This window comes from Homo sapiens, chromosome 6 (assembly GCF_000001405.40).
Source record: "Homo sapiens chromosome 6, GRCh38.p14 Primary Assembly".
In the NCBI taxonomy this organism is placed as follows: domain Eukaryota; kingdom Metazoa; phylum Chordata; class Mammalia; order Primates; family Hominidae; genus Homo; species Homo sapiens.
This window is the reverse complement of record NC_000006.12, coordinates 6,425,376-6,443,157: the sequence shown is the minus strand read 5'-3', so window position 1 is coordinate 6,443,157 and position 17,782 is coordinate 6,425,376. Positions and strand designations below refer to the sequence as shown.

Genomic DNA, 17,782 nt, shown 5'->3' with positions numbered 1-17,782 from the left:
GTTCTTGCGATAGTTTACTGAGAATGATGATTTCCAATTTCATCCATGTCCCTACAAAGGACATGAACTCATCATTTTTTATGGCTGCATAGTATTCCATGGTGTATATGTGCCACATTTTCTTAATCCAGTCTATCATTGTTGGACATTTGGGTTGGTTCCAAGTTTTTGCTATTGTGAATAGTGCCGCAATAAACATACGTGTGCATGTGTCTTTATAGCAGCATGATTTATAGTCCTTTGGGTATATACCCAGTAATGGGGTGGCTGGGTCAAATGGTATTTCTAGTTTTAGATCCCTGAGGAATTGCCACACTGATTTACACAATGGTTGAACTAGTTTACAGTCCCACCAACAGTGTGAAAGTGTTCCTATTTCTCCACATTCTCTCCAGCACCTGTTGTTTCCTGACTTTTTAATGATTGCCATTCTAACTGGTATGAGATGATATCTCATTGCGGTTCTGATTTGCATAAAAACCCTAGAAGAAAACCTAGGCATTACCATTCAGGACATAGGCACGGGCAAGGACTTCATGTCTAAAACGCCAAAAGCAATGGCAACAGAAGCCAAAATTGACAAATGGGATCTAATTAAACTAAAGAGCTTCTGCACAGCAAAAGAAACTACCATCAGAGTGAACAGGCAACCCACAAAATGGGAGAAAATTTTCACAACCTACTCATCTGACAAAGGGCTAATATCCAGAATCTACAATGAACTCAAACAAATTTACAAGGAAAAAAGCAAACAACCCCATCAAAAAGTGGGCAAAGGACATGAACAGACACTTCTCAAAAGAAGACATTTATGCAGCCAAAAAACACGTGAAAAAATGCTCACCATCACTGGCCATCAGAGAAATGCAAATCAGTCTATCAACTCACATGCCAATATCCTCCAAAACCACCCTCTCAGACCCACCCAGAAACAATGCTTCCCCAATCATATAGGCTTCCCTCCATCCTGTCAAGTTGACAACTAAAATGCACCATCACAAGGTCCAATTTATTTAATTTTTATTTTGTTGATCTTGCTTTTGGGTATCATATCTAAGAAAACATTCCCTAATTTTATGTTACAAAGATTACGCCTATGTTTTTTTCTAAGAGTTTTATAGTTTTAGCTCTTATGTTGAGGCCTATGATTCATTTTGAGGTTTTGTGCATGTGTATGATATAATAAAGGGGTACAACTATGTCTTTCTTGGACATGTGGATATCTAGTTGTCCCAGCTCTTTTTGTTGAAATGACTGTTTCATTCCCCATTACATGATCTTAGCTCACTTGTTAAAAATCAGTTAAATATAAAGGTAGAGGTTTATTTTTACTCTCACCTCGATTCCATTCATTTATGTGTGTATCCTTATGTCAGTTGCGTTCTATCTTGATTACTGTAACATTGCAGTAAGCTTTGAAGTTGCAACTGTGGGTCTTCTAAATTTGTTTTTTTCTAAAATTGTTGTAGTTATTATGGGGTCCTTGTACTTTCATACATTTTATGACCAGCTTGTCAATTTCTGTCAAAAAGCCAGCTGGGATTTTGATCAAGATTGTGGTGAATCTGTAGATTAATTTAGGAACTATTAACATTTTAATGATAATAAGTCCTTTAATCCCAAAACCTGGGATATCTTTTCATTCATTTAGATCTTCTTTAATTTCCTTTGGGAATGTTTTGTATTTTCAGTGAAAAAGTCTCATACTGTACACAGTGTGCATTTGTTAAATTTTTCATAAGCATTTTATTTTGATGCTATTATAAATAAAATTATTTTCTTAACATTATTTTTGGATTGTTCCTTGCAAGTGCATAGAGATACAACTGATTTTTTTTTATTGATCTTGTATCCTGAAATCTTTGGAACTCATTCATGAGTTATAATAATTTTTTAGTGTATTCCTTAGGATTTTCTATATGCAGTATTATGCCATTTCCAATTAGAGATTATTTTACTTCTTATTTTCCAGTGTGGATGCCTTTTATTTATTTTTCTTGCTTAATTGCTCTCGTTAGAACCTCCAGTGCAATAGTGAATAGATGTGGCAGGAATGGACAATGTTGTTTCTGATTGTAGAGGAAAAACATTCTGTCTTTCACCAAGTATGGTATTAGCTATGGATATTTCACAGATACCTTTTATCAGGTTAAAGAAGTTTCCTTTTACTCCAAGTTTGTTGAGTGTTTTTATGATGAAGGAATGCTGGATTTTGTCAGATACCTTTTCTACATCTGTTGAGATGATCATGTGGTTTTTGTTCTTTTTTCCGATGTTAAATCGACTTTAATTTTTTAGACTTGGTTTCCTTTAATTCTTAGAACATATATGTGTGTGTATATATATTTATGTGTATATATATTTATATGTATATATAATAACTGGTTTAAAATATTTGTTCATTTGGCCCCTTGGGAACTTTTTCTGTTGACTGCTCTTTTCCTTCATATGAACCTTCCTTTCCTATTTATCTGCATATCTTCTAATATTTTATTTCAAATTGAGCATTTTTGATATGATGTGGCAACTCTGGATATCAGATTCCACCCCTACTCCTGGGGTTTGTTGTTGCTGCTGTTTGTTTAATGATATTTGTTAACTTATTCTGTAAAGTATTTATTCCCTGTAGTGTGAAGTTATTGAGCCTTTGCTTGGTTAGCTTAGCAGTCAAACAACAATTGGTCAGAGATTTTCTTACATGCCTTGAAGCTATAAAACTTCTGCCCTTTGCTGACAGACTGTGTGTGTGTGTTGGGGTGTGTTTTCAATGCTCAGGTAGTTTACACCTCTGTCTTAGCCTTCACTTCCTGCTTGTACAGGGCCTAAAAGTCAGCCAGAGATGGAAGATTGGGTTCCTCTCAGATGTTTCTAGGGAATGCACACAGCTCTGTACATGTATGTGGCCTTCCTTCTATATCCTCAGGAATATGTCAGAGCTTTCTGGAGCCCTGTGTGGGCCCATTCCCCAGATCTTCCTTTTAAGTTTTTGGCCAACCTCTTGTTTGGTCCTATTGGTATCACAGCCTCAGGCAACTGTGCTGCTAAACAATTTTCAAAGCTTTGTTTCCAACCAATTCTCTGGGGGTAGAGCTTTTCTAGCAGAGTGAGCTCCAAGTCAGGTCAGATAGTGACTGCAAATAGAGCTTTTCTGGCAGAGTGAGCTCTATGTCAAGTCAAATAGTGAACACTGATCTGAAGATGGGAACTTTTGAGAAGTTTCAAATCAAGTCTGTCCCATTTAGTGGCTGCAAGGCTGCTGGTTTTTATAGCAACTGTGGCTGCCAGATGGTTAGTATTCAAGGCTCCTACGAACAAGTTAAAAGATCACAAAGGCCCTGTTCTCATGTAGGTTCAGCAGTTTTTCTTAAATAAATGTTTCTCAAATAATTGCCTGCCTTTTATTAACTTTCAGAGCTCTGAACAAGTTGATTCTGATGGCTTTTGTCATTGTTTCTGTTGCTTTTATAGAGGAGCAAATTTATTTCAGTTCCTGTCTTCCATTCCAGAACTCCTTCCCCCCGGCAAAATTCTCACTGATTATCAAAATTTACCCCTCTTTAGTGATTAGAAATAGAAATTATAAAGCTAAACAAACAAACAACTTAATTCAGCCTTAGATAAAATTAAAATATATTATAAGTCACAGTGGTATATAATAAACCTTAAGAAAGAATCAGAGTTCACTATCAAGTATTTTCAATTTTATAGTATTCTTCTTATAAAAAGAATATTTACAATGCAGAGTCCAGATAAGAGCTCAGAGAATAATGAACATTCTTGAGAAAATATATATAAAGGAAAAAAATACTTAGTTATATTTATCCCAGTACTGAAATTACATCAGCTCTTCAATAGGACTAGAAAATCCTTCCTACTTGTTTGCCCAATATTAAGTACAAAGTTGTTGCTTAATTTTTCTGGTGCATAATCTTCTGATGATCAGGAAAACCACATATCTGGAATCAACTTTTCTTTTCACATACTGCATAAAAGAAAATATAAACTATCAGATTCAGATTCAAATGCAATAAGAAGCCTGAATTTTTTTTGACAGATAATAGCTTTCTATTGAAATTTCTATTGAATGTATGTGATAAATACAGTTAGATGTATTGGTAGAGACATATTTTACCTTCATGTAAGTTACTACTTAGTCTTTCAGCAATAGAAATAAAAGATGGCTATTGGTATTTAAACTTAACACAATGCTATGGGGTACAGAAGAACAATTCATAGAAAAATAAGTCTTTAAAGAATTGGAGGATGCCCTTATATTTTTCACTTCCTATAGTACGTGTTTTGGATTGCTACTGACACCATCTTTTTAAAAAAATTGATATTTATTCATCATGAAAAGGAAGCACCTGGTGATTTGACATTTTCTAAATTGTACCTTTTCTCCTAAACATCTGTTTTTGTTGAAAGCCTTTGGAATGAGTACACATCCAGGAGTGAAGAAGACAAGCTCAACTGCCATTCTCTGAGCAGTTCAAGGCATACTGAGTTGCGGGAGTTGTGTGGTGGTCCACTCTGACTGCAAGCACCCCTTTCTTGAACCGAACAGAGTCAAGTGGAATCAAAGGTGAGTCTATGACTTGTCTTGGACAAGAAACAGTTTATTGATGAATCAGCTGTGGCAACATGTCTTTCCTGCAGAGAGCTGAGTCAGAGCAAATTTAAGGCAAGTATTCTGACAGCTTCTAAAGAAGAATTTGCAAGTTGTTCCCTCCAGTCTGGCACAAACCCAGATCATTGAATAGAATTTAAGGTTTTGTGTTTTTTTTTTCAGTTGTGCCTGGGTGGTTTTCTTTCTTTTAAAAAAATTGACTGAAAAGTTTCCACTGAGTTCCAATCAATATGCCTGAGATGGGCCAAGTCATCCTGGCAGAGGGAAGCACTGAGATTGTATTTCTGAGATGTGCACCAGGAGGTAGGGTTCTCCAAGGGAGGGTAAGGGAAATGTAGAAGCTCAAGAGATCTGGTGGCTGTGAAGATAGATGGCTGCCATGGCCAGACTCGATGCCATGGGGTGTTCACTGGTGAATGTTGGCAGGCGGCTTTGGCTAGTTTCCTTGCTTCAATGCTGTGTGACCTGAATAAGCCATTTGGTTGCATTAATAGCTCCTTTTTTCAGCCCCCAAAATGAGAGATATGGAAATGAAGGAGAGTATATCCTTACTGTAAAAGTATGTTCTTGGATAGCCGAATATACATTAGGTAAATTTAAGCCAATAGTTTCACTGACATAGTATTGTTGAGATTTGTTTTTCTCCTCCCTCATTGATCTTTGCTGGCAATGGTACTGACATATTAGTTCAAGCGTCTTTGTCCTCAGCCTCTCTGACAAGGAGTTAATAAATTTTAATGAAGAATTTAGGAAAAAGCTCTCCTTTTGGAAATGACCGTATGTATAATCTTAAGTTTGAAAACACCTGTAAGTTAGTGGGAGCTCAAAATGAGAAGGGCTATGCATTCTAAAATATGCTGTTTCATTACAACAAGTATTTATGTGTATGCATTTTTAATGTGAATGAAATTAATAATTTGATTAATGACAATCTGTCAGCTGTAACAGCTGTAACTATGGTTTGGGTGGAAATAGAAAGTTTGAGATCCACAGGGTTAGCTTTCATTAGAAGTGTAACTCTGTGTTTGTGTGTGTGAATGTACACATGAACATGTAGTAGAAATTATTGATAAACTGAACTCATCAAATTTAAAAACATCTGTTCTTCAGAAAACATTTGACACTGATTTTAAAAAAGTGAAACCACAGATTTGGAGAAAATAGTCACAATATACATAACTGGCAAACCATCCAATGAAAATGAGCAAAGACTTAGACACTTATTAAGAGATATATCAATGATTAGTAAGCACATTAAAAAATGCTCCACATTGTTAGTTACCAGAAATGCAATTAAAATGACAACGTGCTAGCATTCACCATTCAGAATGACTAACATTAATAAGACTGAGAACACCAACTGTTCATGACGATGTGGACCAACTGGAATTCTCATACAATGATAATGAGGTATAAACTTACACAACCACATTGCAAAATACTTGGAAAGTTTCTTATAAAGCTTTTTAAAAATTGAAAATGTATTGTGTCATTCACGGATTACACTTCTAGGTATTTACCTAAGAGAAATGTAAACATGTCTACAAAAAGTTTGTGCAAGAATGATCACATAGCTTTATACATATTAGCCAGAACATGCAAAAATGGAAATGTTCACCATTAAGAGACAGATAAGCAAATTGTGGTATATTTATACCACAGAATACTACTCATAATGATACAGGAGCTAAAAAGAAATTATTTAGGCTGTTAGTGAGGGTAAGAGAGTCCTCAGTAAGGCTTCGCTTTTAACGAAAAGCAGCCCCCAAATCATTTCTTTTCTAATAAAGAGCAGCCCCTAAAATCAAGCTGCAGACAAAGAAAGGCAAGCTAGATGCTTGCACGGGTGAATGCTAGCAGTTGTGCCAATAGGAAAAGGCTACCTGGGGGCCAGGCATGTTCAACATGAGGCTCCACCTCCCTTTTTCTTTGTCAACCACATGTACAATAAAGGAACAGGCAACATGGCGCCGGACAGGTAGAGAACCCATTTGCATAATAAAAGATTAGGTTGAGGTGGCACACCTGGTCTGACCACTTCTCAAGCTTGTCTATAAAACCCTATGCGTTTCACCATAAAATTGGAAGACCCACTCAGGAGCTCCTCTCTGCAGGAAGGAGAGCTTTTCTCTTTTCTCTCACCTATTAAACCTCCACTCTTAAACTCACTTCTTGTGTGTCCATGTCCTTGATTTCCTTGGTGTGAGATGATGAACCTTGGGTATTTACCCCAGACAATGACACAGCTTCAGTAAGTAAAAGGGGAGTGAATTACTAATACCCACAACAACATTCATGAACCAAAAAAAACAGAACAAAACAAAACAAACAAACAAAAAACATGTTGAGCATTAAGGGCTAAAAACAGAAGAATATATTCTGCATGATCCCATTTATAAGCCTTTTAGGAACAGGCAAAACTAATCTCAGATGAGAGAAATCTGAAAATTGTTGCTTCAAATGCAGGGTATGGAGAGAACCGAGAAGGGGGCATGAGGAAACTTTCTGGAGTAAATGAAAATTTTCTCAACTCTGATAGTTGCATGAGTTGCACAAATGCACACATTTGCTAAAACTATTTAAACTGTGTACTTCATATTTGTACATTCCACTGTCTATAATTTTCAGAGTGTTTAAAATATATTTAAAGATAAAATTTGAGTCTGTAAAGACAGTAGAAGGAAACAACCCCATTAAAAACTGGGTAAAGGACCTGAACAGACTTTTCTCTAAAGACGTACACATGAAAAGTGGTCAACAAAAACATGAAAAAATGCTCAACATCACTAATCATCAAAGAAATGTAAATTAAAACCATGATGAGATATCATCTTACACCAGTCAGAATAGCTGTTATTAAAATGTCAAAAACAATAGATGTTGGCGTGGATGCGGAGAAAAGGGAACATTTACACAATGTTGGTGGGAATGTAAATTAGTACAACCTCTATGGAAAGCAGTATGGAGATTTTTTGAAGAACTAAAAGTAGAACTACCATTTGACCCAGTAATCACACTGCAGGGTGTCTACCAAAAGGAAAAGAAATCATTGTATAAAAAAGCCACCTGCACTTGCATGTTCATCACAGCACCATTCACAATAGCAAAGTCATGGAACCAACCTAAGGGTTCATCAGTGGTTGACTGGATAAATAAAGTGTGGTATGTATTCTGCATGGAATACTATGCAGCCATAAAAAAGAATGAAATCACATCCTTTGCAGCAAAATGAATGGAGGTGGAGACGATTATACTAAGTCAACTAACTCAGAAACAGAAAACTAAATACTGCATGTTCTCACTAAGGGTGAGCTAAACATTTGGCAGACATAGACCTAAAGATGGAAATAATGGACACCAGGGACTCTAAAAGGGGAAAGAGTTGAGGGGGAAGGTTGAAAAATAACCTATCAGGTATGATGTTCACTGTTTGGTAATGGTAATGGGTTCACTGGATGCCCAGTATCCACCAGTATGTAATATATTCGTGTAACAAACATGCACATGTACCCCCCTGAATTTAAAAAAAAACCAAATAAATAAAAGATATTAGGTTGAAAAAATAAATCAAGAGGTAGGAAAGGCTAGAAAATATCAAGAAAAAATGCTAAGTTGACAAATTTGAGTAATTAAAAATTATAATTTATGTATGGCAAAAATAAGAATATAGGTAATGTTAAAAGACAGATAAAAAAATAGAAAAATGTATCTAATATGACAAAGGGCTAACTAAAATCTAAAGAGCTTTTTGAAATCATTAAATACAAGTAATTACTCCCTATAAAATAGACAAAATCATAAATAGATAAGTTCACTGAAACAAATACGTATAGATATAGATAAATGTATATATATAATATCACACATGAAAAGATGTTGTACTCTATCCATAATAAAATAAATGCAAATTAGAGAGCAATTAAACATTTTTGACCTAATAGACTTGTAAAGAATGTAATGCTTGATAGTACACAGTGCTAGTTGCACTGGTATTCCCCACATTTTTGATGGAGTATGAATAAGTGCAAACTCTCTAAGAAGCAATTTGTCAATATACATCAAAATGTAAAATGTGCATATCCTGGAATCCAGGAATTGGGCTTCTAGGTCAAATATGCAAGGTTTTTTATTGCAGCATTGTTTGGAATGTCAAATGACTGGAAACAGTCAAGTTGGAACTGGTTACATAAATTGTGGTTACGTCCAGACATTGCTTACATACAGCCATGAAAAGGAACACGAAAGCTCTTTATATGATGATATGGATCTATCTCCAAGATACTTTGTTAACTGAGAAGCATAAGGTCATATCTGCATTTCTATGTAAATAAGAATGGATAAATGTAAATATAAATGTAACACATGCACAGAATATATTTGGAAGAAATAATAGCAAACGAACAGAAATTGTCTAAAGGGAGGGGCAGTAGTGTTGAGAGACAAGGAGAGGAGATGTTTACTTTTCACATCACCTTCTTGTAGCTGCATTTTTTTTTTTAACTATGGGCATGTATGTGGTTTAGAGAAAATGGCTTAGCTGGAGCTATCACCCAGAGCGCCTTTTTATGGCCTGTCGAGCACGGCTATGTCAGAACAGTTGACTTCTTACATGCAGTTCAGGGGTCCCAGAGAGATGTATTCCAAGGAATCAACCTTCAACTTGGCTTTGGAAATCATACACTGACACTTTTACTGTCTGTATAAGATAAGGCTGTTGCAAACCAACCCATATTTAAACGTAAGGGAAATTAACTGCATCTCTTGGTAGCAGGAACATCAAAAAATTCTTGACTATCATCTTTAATTCATTACAAATGTTATCAATAAAAAGTACTGTAAGAATTAAGAGGAGGACCAATTCATCAACATGAAGGTAGTGTCACACAGCTGTCTTTCAGTAAAATGTGCTCTGTAGCCTTCACATACATTTCCTTCCATTTCTCAGTAACTCCCTTTGGAATTAAGTATCCTGATCTGAGACAATATATGAGAAGAGTATCATAATCCGCGAGGACATGTGTGTCGGTTCCATTCAAAATGGCAGTTCATAATTTGACACACTCAGATATTTTTGTTGTTTTTGGTTTTCTTTCAGACCTCAGGTACAGAATAGAGTTTAAGAATTCTTATTTCATGGTCTGTTGTTGATTATTGGTTCTTGTTAGGCCTCTTTCTTGTTATTCATTCATTTTTTTTCACAGTTATGCCTTTTCCCTGTGTACCCCCCTCTCACTTCATATGCAACCATTTTAATGTATACTGTTTTGTATGTGTTCGAAACGAACATTACTGTTTTGTATGAATGTATTTTTATTGTTGTAAAATACACACAACGTACCATTTATCATTTAAAGCATTTTTAAGTGTACAATTCAGTGGCATTAATACATTTACAATGCTGTGTAACTATCATCTTTATCTATTTCTAAAACTTTTTAATCACTCCAAACAAACACTCTTAGTAATTATGCAATAACTCCCCATTTCCCCTGCCTTTTAGCTGCTAATAACCTCTACTCTACATTCCTTATCTTTAAAGTTGTTTTTTCTAGGTATTTCATCTTTGAGGAATCATGTAATGTTTATCCTTTGTGTCTGACTTCTTTCAGTTAGCATAATGTTTCCAAGGTTTATTCATACTGTAGCAACCATCAGAACTTCATTCAATTTTATGGCTGAATATTAATCCATTGTATGTATATGCCATTTTATCCAATTACTTATTCGTTGATAGATACTTGTTGCCACTTTCAGCTATTGTGTGTGAATAATGCTACTGTGAACATTGTTGTATGAGTATCCATTTAATTCCCCTTATTTAATTATTTTGGGAGTGGGATTGTAGGAGTGGAATTACAGGGTCATACGATAATTTTATATTTAACTTTTTGAAGAACTGTCAAACTATTTTCCATAGCAGCAATACTATTTTACCTTCCCACCACCAACTAGGATTCCAATTGTTCTACATCCTCCCAGCACTTATTTTCCATTTTTTTTAAAACAACAGTCATCTTAATGTGCGTAGTAATATTTCATTGTGGTTTTAATTTGCATGTCCCTAACAACTATAATGTTGACCATATCTCTATGCACCTAATGGCCATTTGTATGTCTTCTTTGCTTAAAGGTTGTTATTTTTGCTGAAGTTCAATTTATCTATGGTGTTGTTGTTGCTTTTGCTTTTGGTGTCATATTTAAAACGTCATTGCCAAATCCAACGTTATGATTTTCCCTTAAGTGTTCTTCTGTGTGTTTTACATTTTTATCTCTGAAGTTTAGGTTTTTAATCCATTTAGAGTTAATTCTTATATATGACATAAAGTAAGAGTTCAACTTTATTATGCATGTTTTCCCGCCATCTTTTGTTGGAAAGACTGTCCTTTCCCCTTTGAGTAGTCTTGAAACCTTGCTGAAAATGAATTGACTGGATATATGAGGGCTTACTTCTAGGCTCTTTATTCTATTCCATTGGTCCATGTCTCTATCCTTATGCCAATACCATGGTATTTTGATTACTATTGCTTTGTAGGAAGTTTTGAAATTGGGAAGCACGAGTCTTCCAATTTTGTTCTTCATTTTCAAGATCTATTTGGGGTCCTTTGAAGTTCCTTAAAAAATTTTAGAATAGGTTTTTCTGTTTATGCAAAAGACACCATTGGGATTTTGAAAGGATTACATTACATCTTTAGACAGCTTTAATTAGTTTTGTCATTTAAAAATATTTAGTATTCCAGTCTATGAACACAAGTTGTCTTTCTGTTTATTTATGTTGTCCTTAACTTTTTTCAGCAGCGTTTCGTTGTTTTCACTTTACAAGTCTTTTTCTACCTTGGTTAAATTTATTTGTAAATTGATTCTATCATTAATGAAACTTTTTTCCTTAATTTCCTTTACAGAGTGTTCCTTGCTAGTGTATAGAAATATACTGATTTTTGTGTGTTGATTTTGTATCCTGCAAATTTGCTGAATTTGTTTATTAGCTCCAACAGTTTTTTTTTTGTGGTTTCTTTAGAGCTTCCGACATATAAGCTTATATCATCTGAGAACAGAGATAATTTTATTTCCTCCTTCCAGCTTGGATGCCTTTTATTTTATTTTATTTTATTTTTGTCTAATTGCTCTGGTTGGAACTTTCAGTGCTATGTTGAATAGAAGTGATGATGATGAGCAATTTTGTCTTGTTCCTGATTTTAGGGGAAAACATTTCAGTCTTTCACCATTGGGGATGATGTTGGCTATGGGTTTTTCACATATGGCCTTTCTGATGTTGAAGGAGTTACCCCCTATTCCTAGTTTATTGAATGTTTTTATCATGAAAAGATGCTGGATTTTGGCAAATGCTTTCTCTGTATCAACTAATATGCTCATGTGAGTTTTTCCCCTTCATTCTATTAATGTGGTATACTGTATTGATTGATTTTCATATGCTGAAGGACATTTGAATTCCTGAAATAAAATTTACTTGGTCATGGTGTGTAATCCTTTTACTATACTGATAAATTTGGCTTGGTAGTACTTTGTTGAGTTTTTTTAAATCTATATTCATAAAAGCCTGCTGGTGTCTTTTATTATAGTATCTGTTCCCAGTTCTAGTATAATGGTACTGTTAGTCTTAAGGAAAAGCATTATAAAATGTTTCCGTCTCTTAGATTCCTTAGAAGAGTTTGAGAACTATTGATGTCAGTTATTCTTTAAATGTTTGATAGAATTCACCACTGAAGCCAACTTGCCCTGAACTTTTCTTTGTTGGAAGGTTTTTGATTTCTGATTCAATATGCTTACTTGTTATAGGTCTATTCAGATTTTCTGCTGCTTCTTGAATCAATTTTGTATTTTGGGTCTAGATGTTTCCATTCTATCCAGACTATCCAATGTGTTGGCATACAATATTCCATAGTATTTTCTTATCATCCTTCTTATTTATGCAAAATTGGTAGTAATATTCCTACTGTCATTTCTGATTTTAGCAATTTCAGTCTTTGCTTTCTTTTTCTTACTTAGTCTAGATAAAGGTTTGTTTATTCTGTTGACCTTTTCAAAGAATCAACTTTTGAGTCTATCATTAATCTATTCTCAATTTTATTTATCTCCACTGTAATCTTTATTATTCATTCCTTCTGCTAGCTTTGGGTTTACTTTAATCTTCTTTTTCTTGTTCTTTGGGTGTTCAGGTAGGTTGTTGATTTGAGATCTCTCCTTTTTTTAAATGTCACTGTTTACAGCATAAATGTCCCATGTAGCTCCTCTTTCACTGTGTCCTATAGGTTTTGAGATGTTGTTGTTTTGTTTGTTTGTTTGTTTTGATTTTTTTAATTATACTTTAAGTTCTAGGGTACATGTGCACAACATGCAGGTTTGTTGCATATGTACACATGTGCCATGTTGGTGTGCTACACCCATTAACTCGTCATTTACGTTAGGTATATCTCCTAATGCTATCCCTCCCCCTCCCCCCACCCCATGACAGGCCCCAGTGTGTGATATTTTCCTTCCTGTGTCCACGTGTTCTCGTTATTCAATTCCCAACTATCAGTGAGAACATGCGGTGTTTGGTTTTTTGTCCTTGCGATAGTTTTCTGAGAATGATGGTTTCCGGCTTCATCCATGTCCCTACAAAGGACATTAACTCATCCTTTTTTATGGCTGCATAGTATTCCATGGTGTATATGTGCCACATTTTCTTAATCCAGTCTATCATTCATGGACATTTGGGTTGGTTCCAAGTCTTTGCTATTGTGAATAGTGCCCCAATAAACATACGTGTCCATGTGTCTTTACAGAAGCATGATTTATAATCCTTTGGGTATATACGCAGTAATGGGATGGCTGGGTCAAATGGTATTTCTAGTTCTAGATCCTTGAGGAATCGCCACTCTGTCTTCCACAATGGTTGAACTAGTTTACCGTCCCACCAACAGTGTAAGTGTTCCTATTTCTCCACATCCTCTCCAGCACCTGTTGTTTCCTGACTTTTTAATGATCGCCATTCTAACTGGTATGAGATGGTATCTCATTGTGGTTTTGATTTGCATTTTTCTGATGGCCAGTGATGATGAGCATTTTTTCATGTGTCTATTGGCCGCATAAATGTCTTCTTTTGAGAAGTGTCTGTTCATATCCTGCGCCCACTTTTTGATGGGGTTGTTTGATTTTTTCTTGTAAATTTGTTTGAGTTCTTTGTAGATTCTGGATATTAGCCCTTTGTCAGATGAGTAGATTGCAAACATTTTCTCCCATTCTGTAGGTTGCCTGTTCACTCTGATGGTAGTTTCTTTTGCTGTGCAGAAGCTCTTTAGTTTAATTAGATCCCATTTGTCAATTTTGTCTTTTGTTGCCATTGCTTTTGGTGTTTTAGACATGAAGTCCTTGCCCATGCCTATGTCCTGAATGGTATTGCCTAGGTTTTCTTCTAGGGTTTTTATGGTTTTAGGTCTAACATTTAAGTCTTTAATCCATCTTGAATTAATTTTTGTATAAGGTGTAAGGAAGGGATCCAGTTTCAGCTTTCTACATATGGCTAGCCAGTTTTCCCAGCACCATTTATTAAATAGGGAATCCTTTCCCCATTGCTTGTTTTTTTCAGGTTTGTCAAAGATCAGATGGTTGTAGATGTGTGGTATTATTTTTGAGGGGTCTGTTCTGTTCCATTGGTCTATATCTCTGTTTCGGTACCAGTACCATGCTGTTTTGGTTACTATAGCCTAGTAGTATAGTTTGAAGTCAGGTAGTGTGATGCCTCCAGCTTTGTTCTTTTGGCTTAGGATTGTGTTGGAAATGTGGGCCCTTTTTTGGTTCCATATGAACTTTAAAGTAGTTTTTTCCAATTCTGTGAAGAAAGTCATTGGTAGTTTGATGGGGATGGCATTGAATCTACAAATTACCTTGGGCAGTATGTCCATTTTCACGATATTGATTCTTCTTATCCATGAGCATGGAATGTTCTTCCATTTGTTTGTGTCCTCTTTTATTTCATTGAGCAGTGGTTTGTAGTTCTCCTTGAAGAGGTCCTTCACATCCCTTTTAAGTTGGATTCCTAGGTATTTTATTCTCTTTTTAGCAATTGTGAATAGGAGTTCACTCATGATTTGGCTCCCTATTTGTCTGTTATTGGTGTATAAGGATGCTTGTGATTTTTGCACATTGATTTTGTATCCTGAGACTTTGCTGAAGTTGCTTATCAGCTTAAGGAGATTTTGGGCTGAGACGATGGGGTTTTCTAGATATACAATCATGTCATCTGCAAACAGGGACAATTTGACTTCCTCTTTTACTAATTGAATACACTTTATTTCTTTCTCCTGCCTGATTGCCCTGGCCAGAACTTCCAACACTATGTTGAATAGGAGTGGTGAGAGAGGGCATCCCTGTGTTGTGCCAGTTTTCAAAGGGAATGCTTCTGGTTTTTGCCCATTCAGTATGGTATTGGCTGTGGGTTTGTCATAAATAGCTCTTATTATTTTGAGATACATCCCATCAATACCTAATTTATTGAGAGTTTTTAGCATGAAGCACTGTTGAATTTTGTCAAAGGCCTTTTCTGCATCTATTGAGATAATCGTGTGGTTTTTGTCTTTGGTTCTGTTTATATGCTGGATTACGTTTATTGATTTGCATATGTTGAACCAGCCTTGCATCCCAGCGATGAAGCCCTCTTGATCATGGTGGATAAGCTTTTTGATGTGCTGCTGGATTCGGTTTGCCAGTATCTTATTGAGGCTTTTTGCATCGATGTTCATCAGGGATATTGGTCTAAAATTCTCTTTTTTATTGTTGTGTCTCTGTCAGGCTTTGGTATCAGGATGATGCTGGCCTCATAAAATGAGCTAGGGAGGATTCCCTCTTTTTCTATTGATTGGAATAGTTTCAGAAGGAATGGTACCAGCTCCTCCTTGTACCTCTGGTAGAATTCGGCTGTGAATCCATCTGGTCCTGGACTTTTTTTGGTTGGTAGGCTATTCATTATTGCCTCAATTTCAGAGCCTGGATTCAGCTTCTTCCTGGTTTAGTCTTGGGAGGGTGTATGTGTCCAGGAATTTATCCATTTTTTCTGGATTTTCTAGTTTCTTTGCATAGAGGTGTTTATAGTACTCTCTGATGGTCGTTTGTATTTCTGTGGGATCGGTGGTGATATCCCCTTTATCATTTTCTATTGTGTCTATTTGATTCTTCTCTCTTTTCTTCTTTATTAGTCTTGCTAGCAGTCTATCAATTTTGTTGATCCTTTCAAAAAGCCAGCTCCTGGATTCATTGATTTTTTTGAAGGGTTTTTTGTGTTTCTATTTCCTTGAGTTCTGCTCTGATCTTAGTTATTTCTTGCCTTCTGCTAGCTTTTGAATGTGTTTGCTCTTGCTTCTCTAGTTCTTTTAATTGTGATGTTAGGGTATCATTTTTAGATCTTTCCTGCTTTCTTTTGTGGGCATTTAGTGCTATAAATTTCCCTCTACACACTGCTTTAAATGTGTCCCAGAGATTCTGGTATGTTGTGTCTGTGTTCTCATTGGTTTCAAAGAACATCTTTCTTTATTTCTGCCTTCATTTCATTATGTACCCAGTAGTCATTCAGGAGCAGGTTGTTCAGTTTCCATGTAGTTGAGTGGTTTTGAGTGAGTTTCTTAATCCTGAGTTCTAGTTTGATTGCACTGTGGTCTGAGAGACAGCTTGTTATAATTTCTGTTCTTTTACATTTGCTGAGGAGTGCTTTACTTCCAAGTATGTGGTCAATTTTGGAATAAGTGCAATGTGGTGCTGAGAAGAATGTATATTCTGTTGATTTGGGGTGGAGAGTTCTGTAGATGTCTATTAAGTCTGCTTGGTGCAGAGCTGAGTTCAATTCCTGGATATCCTTGTTAACTTTCTATCTCGTTGATCTGTCTAATGTTGACAGTGGGGTGTTAAAATCTCCCATTATTATTGTGTGGGAGTCTAAGTGAGATGTTGTTGTTTTTATTAATCTCAAGGTGTTTTCTAATTTCCCTTGTGATTTACTCTTTGACCCATTTGTTGGTTAAGACTGTGTTGTTTAGCTCTTACAGATTTGTTAATTTTCTAGTTTTCCTTCTGTTATTGATTTGTAGTTTCCTTCTATTGTGATTAAAAAAGATTTTTTGTTTTAAAATTTCAATATCTTAAATGTTTTGAAATTTATTAAGAAATTTTGTGATCTAGCCCTATGGTCTATCTTGCAGAATGTTCCAAACATACCTTTTGAGAAGAATGTGTATTTTTCAGTTGTTGCGTGGATTGTTTTGTATATGTGTATGGGTAAAATTGGTTTATTGTGTTGTTCAAGTCCTCTATTTCCTTTTTGATCTATTCTGCTATATGGCCGTATGGTTATTCTGCTCACTATTGAAAGTGTAGTATGAAAGTCTCCAACTGTTATTGTAGAACTATCTACCTCTCCCTTCAATTCTGTTCATTTTTGCTTCGTATATTTTAGAGTTCTGTTGTTAGATGCATATATGTTTATAAATGTTATATCTTCATGATGGTTTGAACATTTTATTAATGTATAATGTCCTCCATTGCCTCTAGTAAACTTTTTTGAATTAAAGGTTAGTTTGCCTGACAACGATATAGCCACTTCAGCTCTTTTTTGGTTATTATCTGCATGAAATATCTTATCTCATCCTTTCATTTTCAACTTCTTTGTGTCTCTGTATCTAAAGTGAGTCTCTGGTATACAGTACATAGATCATGTTTTTATTTTTTAATTTATCCACTGTTTTCATCCCTGTCTTTTAATAGGAGGTTTTCATCAATTTGAATTTAAAGTAATTACTGATAAGAAAGGATTTATTTCTACCATTTAGCTATTTGTTGTGTATATTTTACATGTTTATTTATTTTACTTATTCCTCATTTGCTACACTACACTACTACAGTACTGCCTCTTTTTGGAGTTAGTTGATTTTTTGTAGTGTGCCATTTTGATTCCCTCCTTCTTTACTTTTCTGTATATTTTTAAGTTATTTACTTAGTGGTTGCCTTAGGAGATTAATATTAATATCTTAAACTGATAACAACCCAGTTTGAGTAATATCAAATGAGTTTCAATAGTATGCAAATACTCTGCTCCTATACATCTCTTTTCATTCCCCTTTATGTTATTGTTGCAGATGTATCCTTATACAGTATTTGCCCTTTAAGATA

General features: G+C 35.3%; 1 long non-coding RNA gene across 1 annotated transcript in view; it reads left to right on the top strand.

Moving 5' to 3' along the window:
* Positions 1–17,782, top strand: part of LY86-AS1 (LY86 antisense RNA 1) — a 276,362-nt gene that overhangs the window by 179,669 nt on the left and 78,911 nt on the right. Inside the window, exon 4 of the long non-coding RNA NR_026970.1 lies at positions 4,426–4,582. This is a non-coding gene — a long non-coding RNA (LY86 antisense RNA 1). The remainder of the gene's footprint in view (positions 1–4,425; positions 4,583–17,782) is intronic.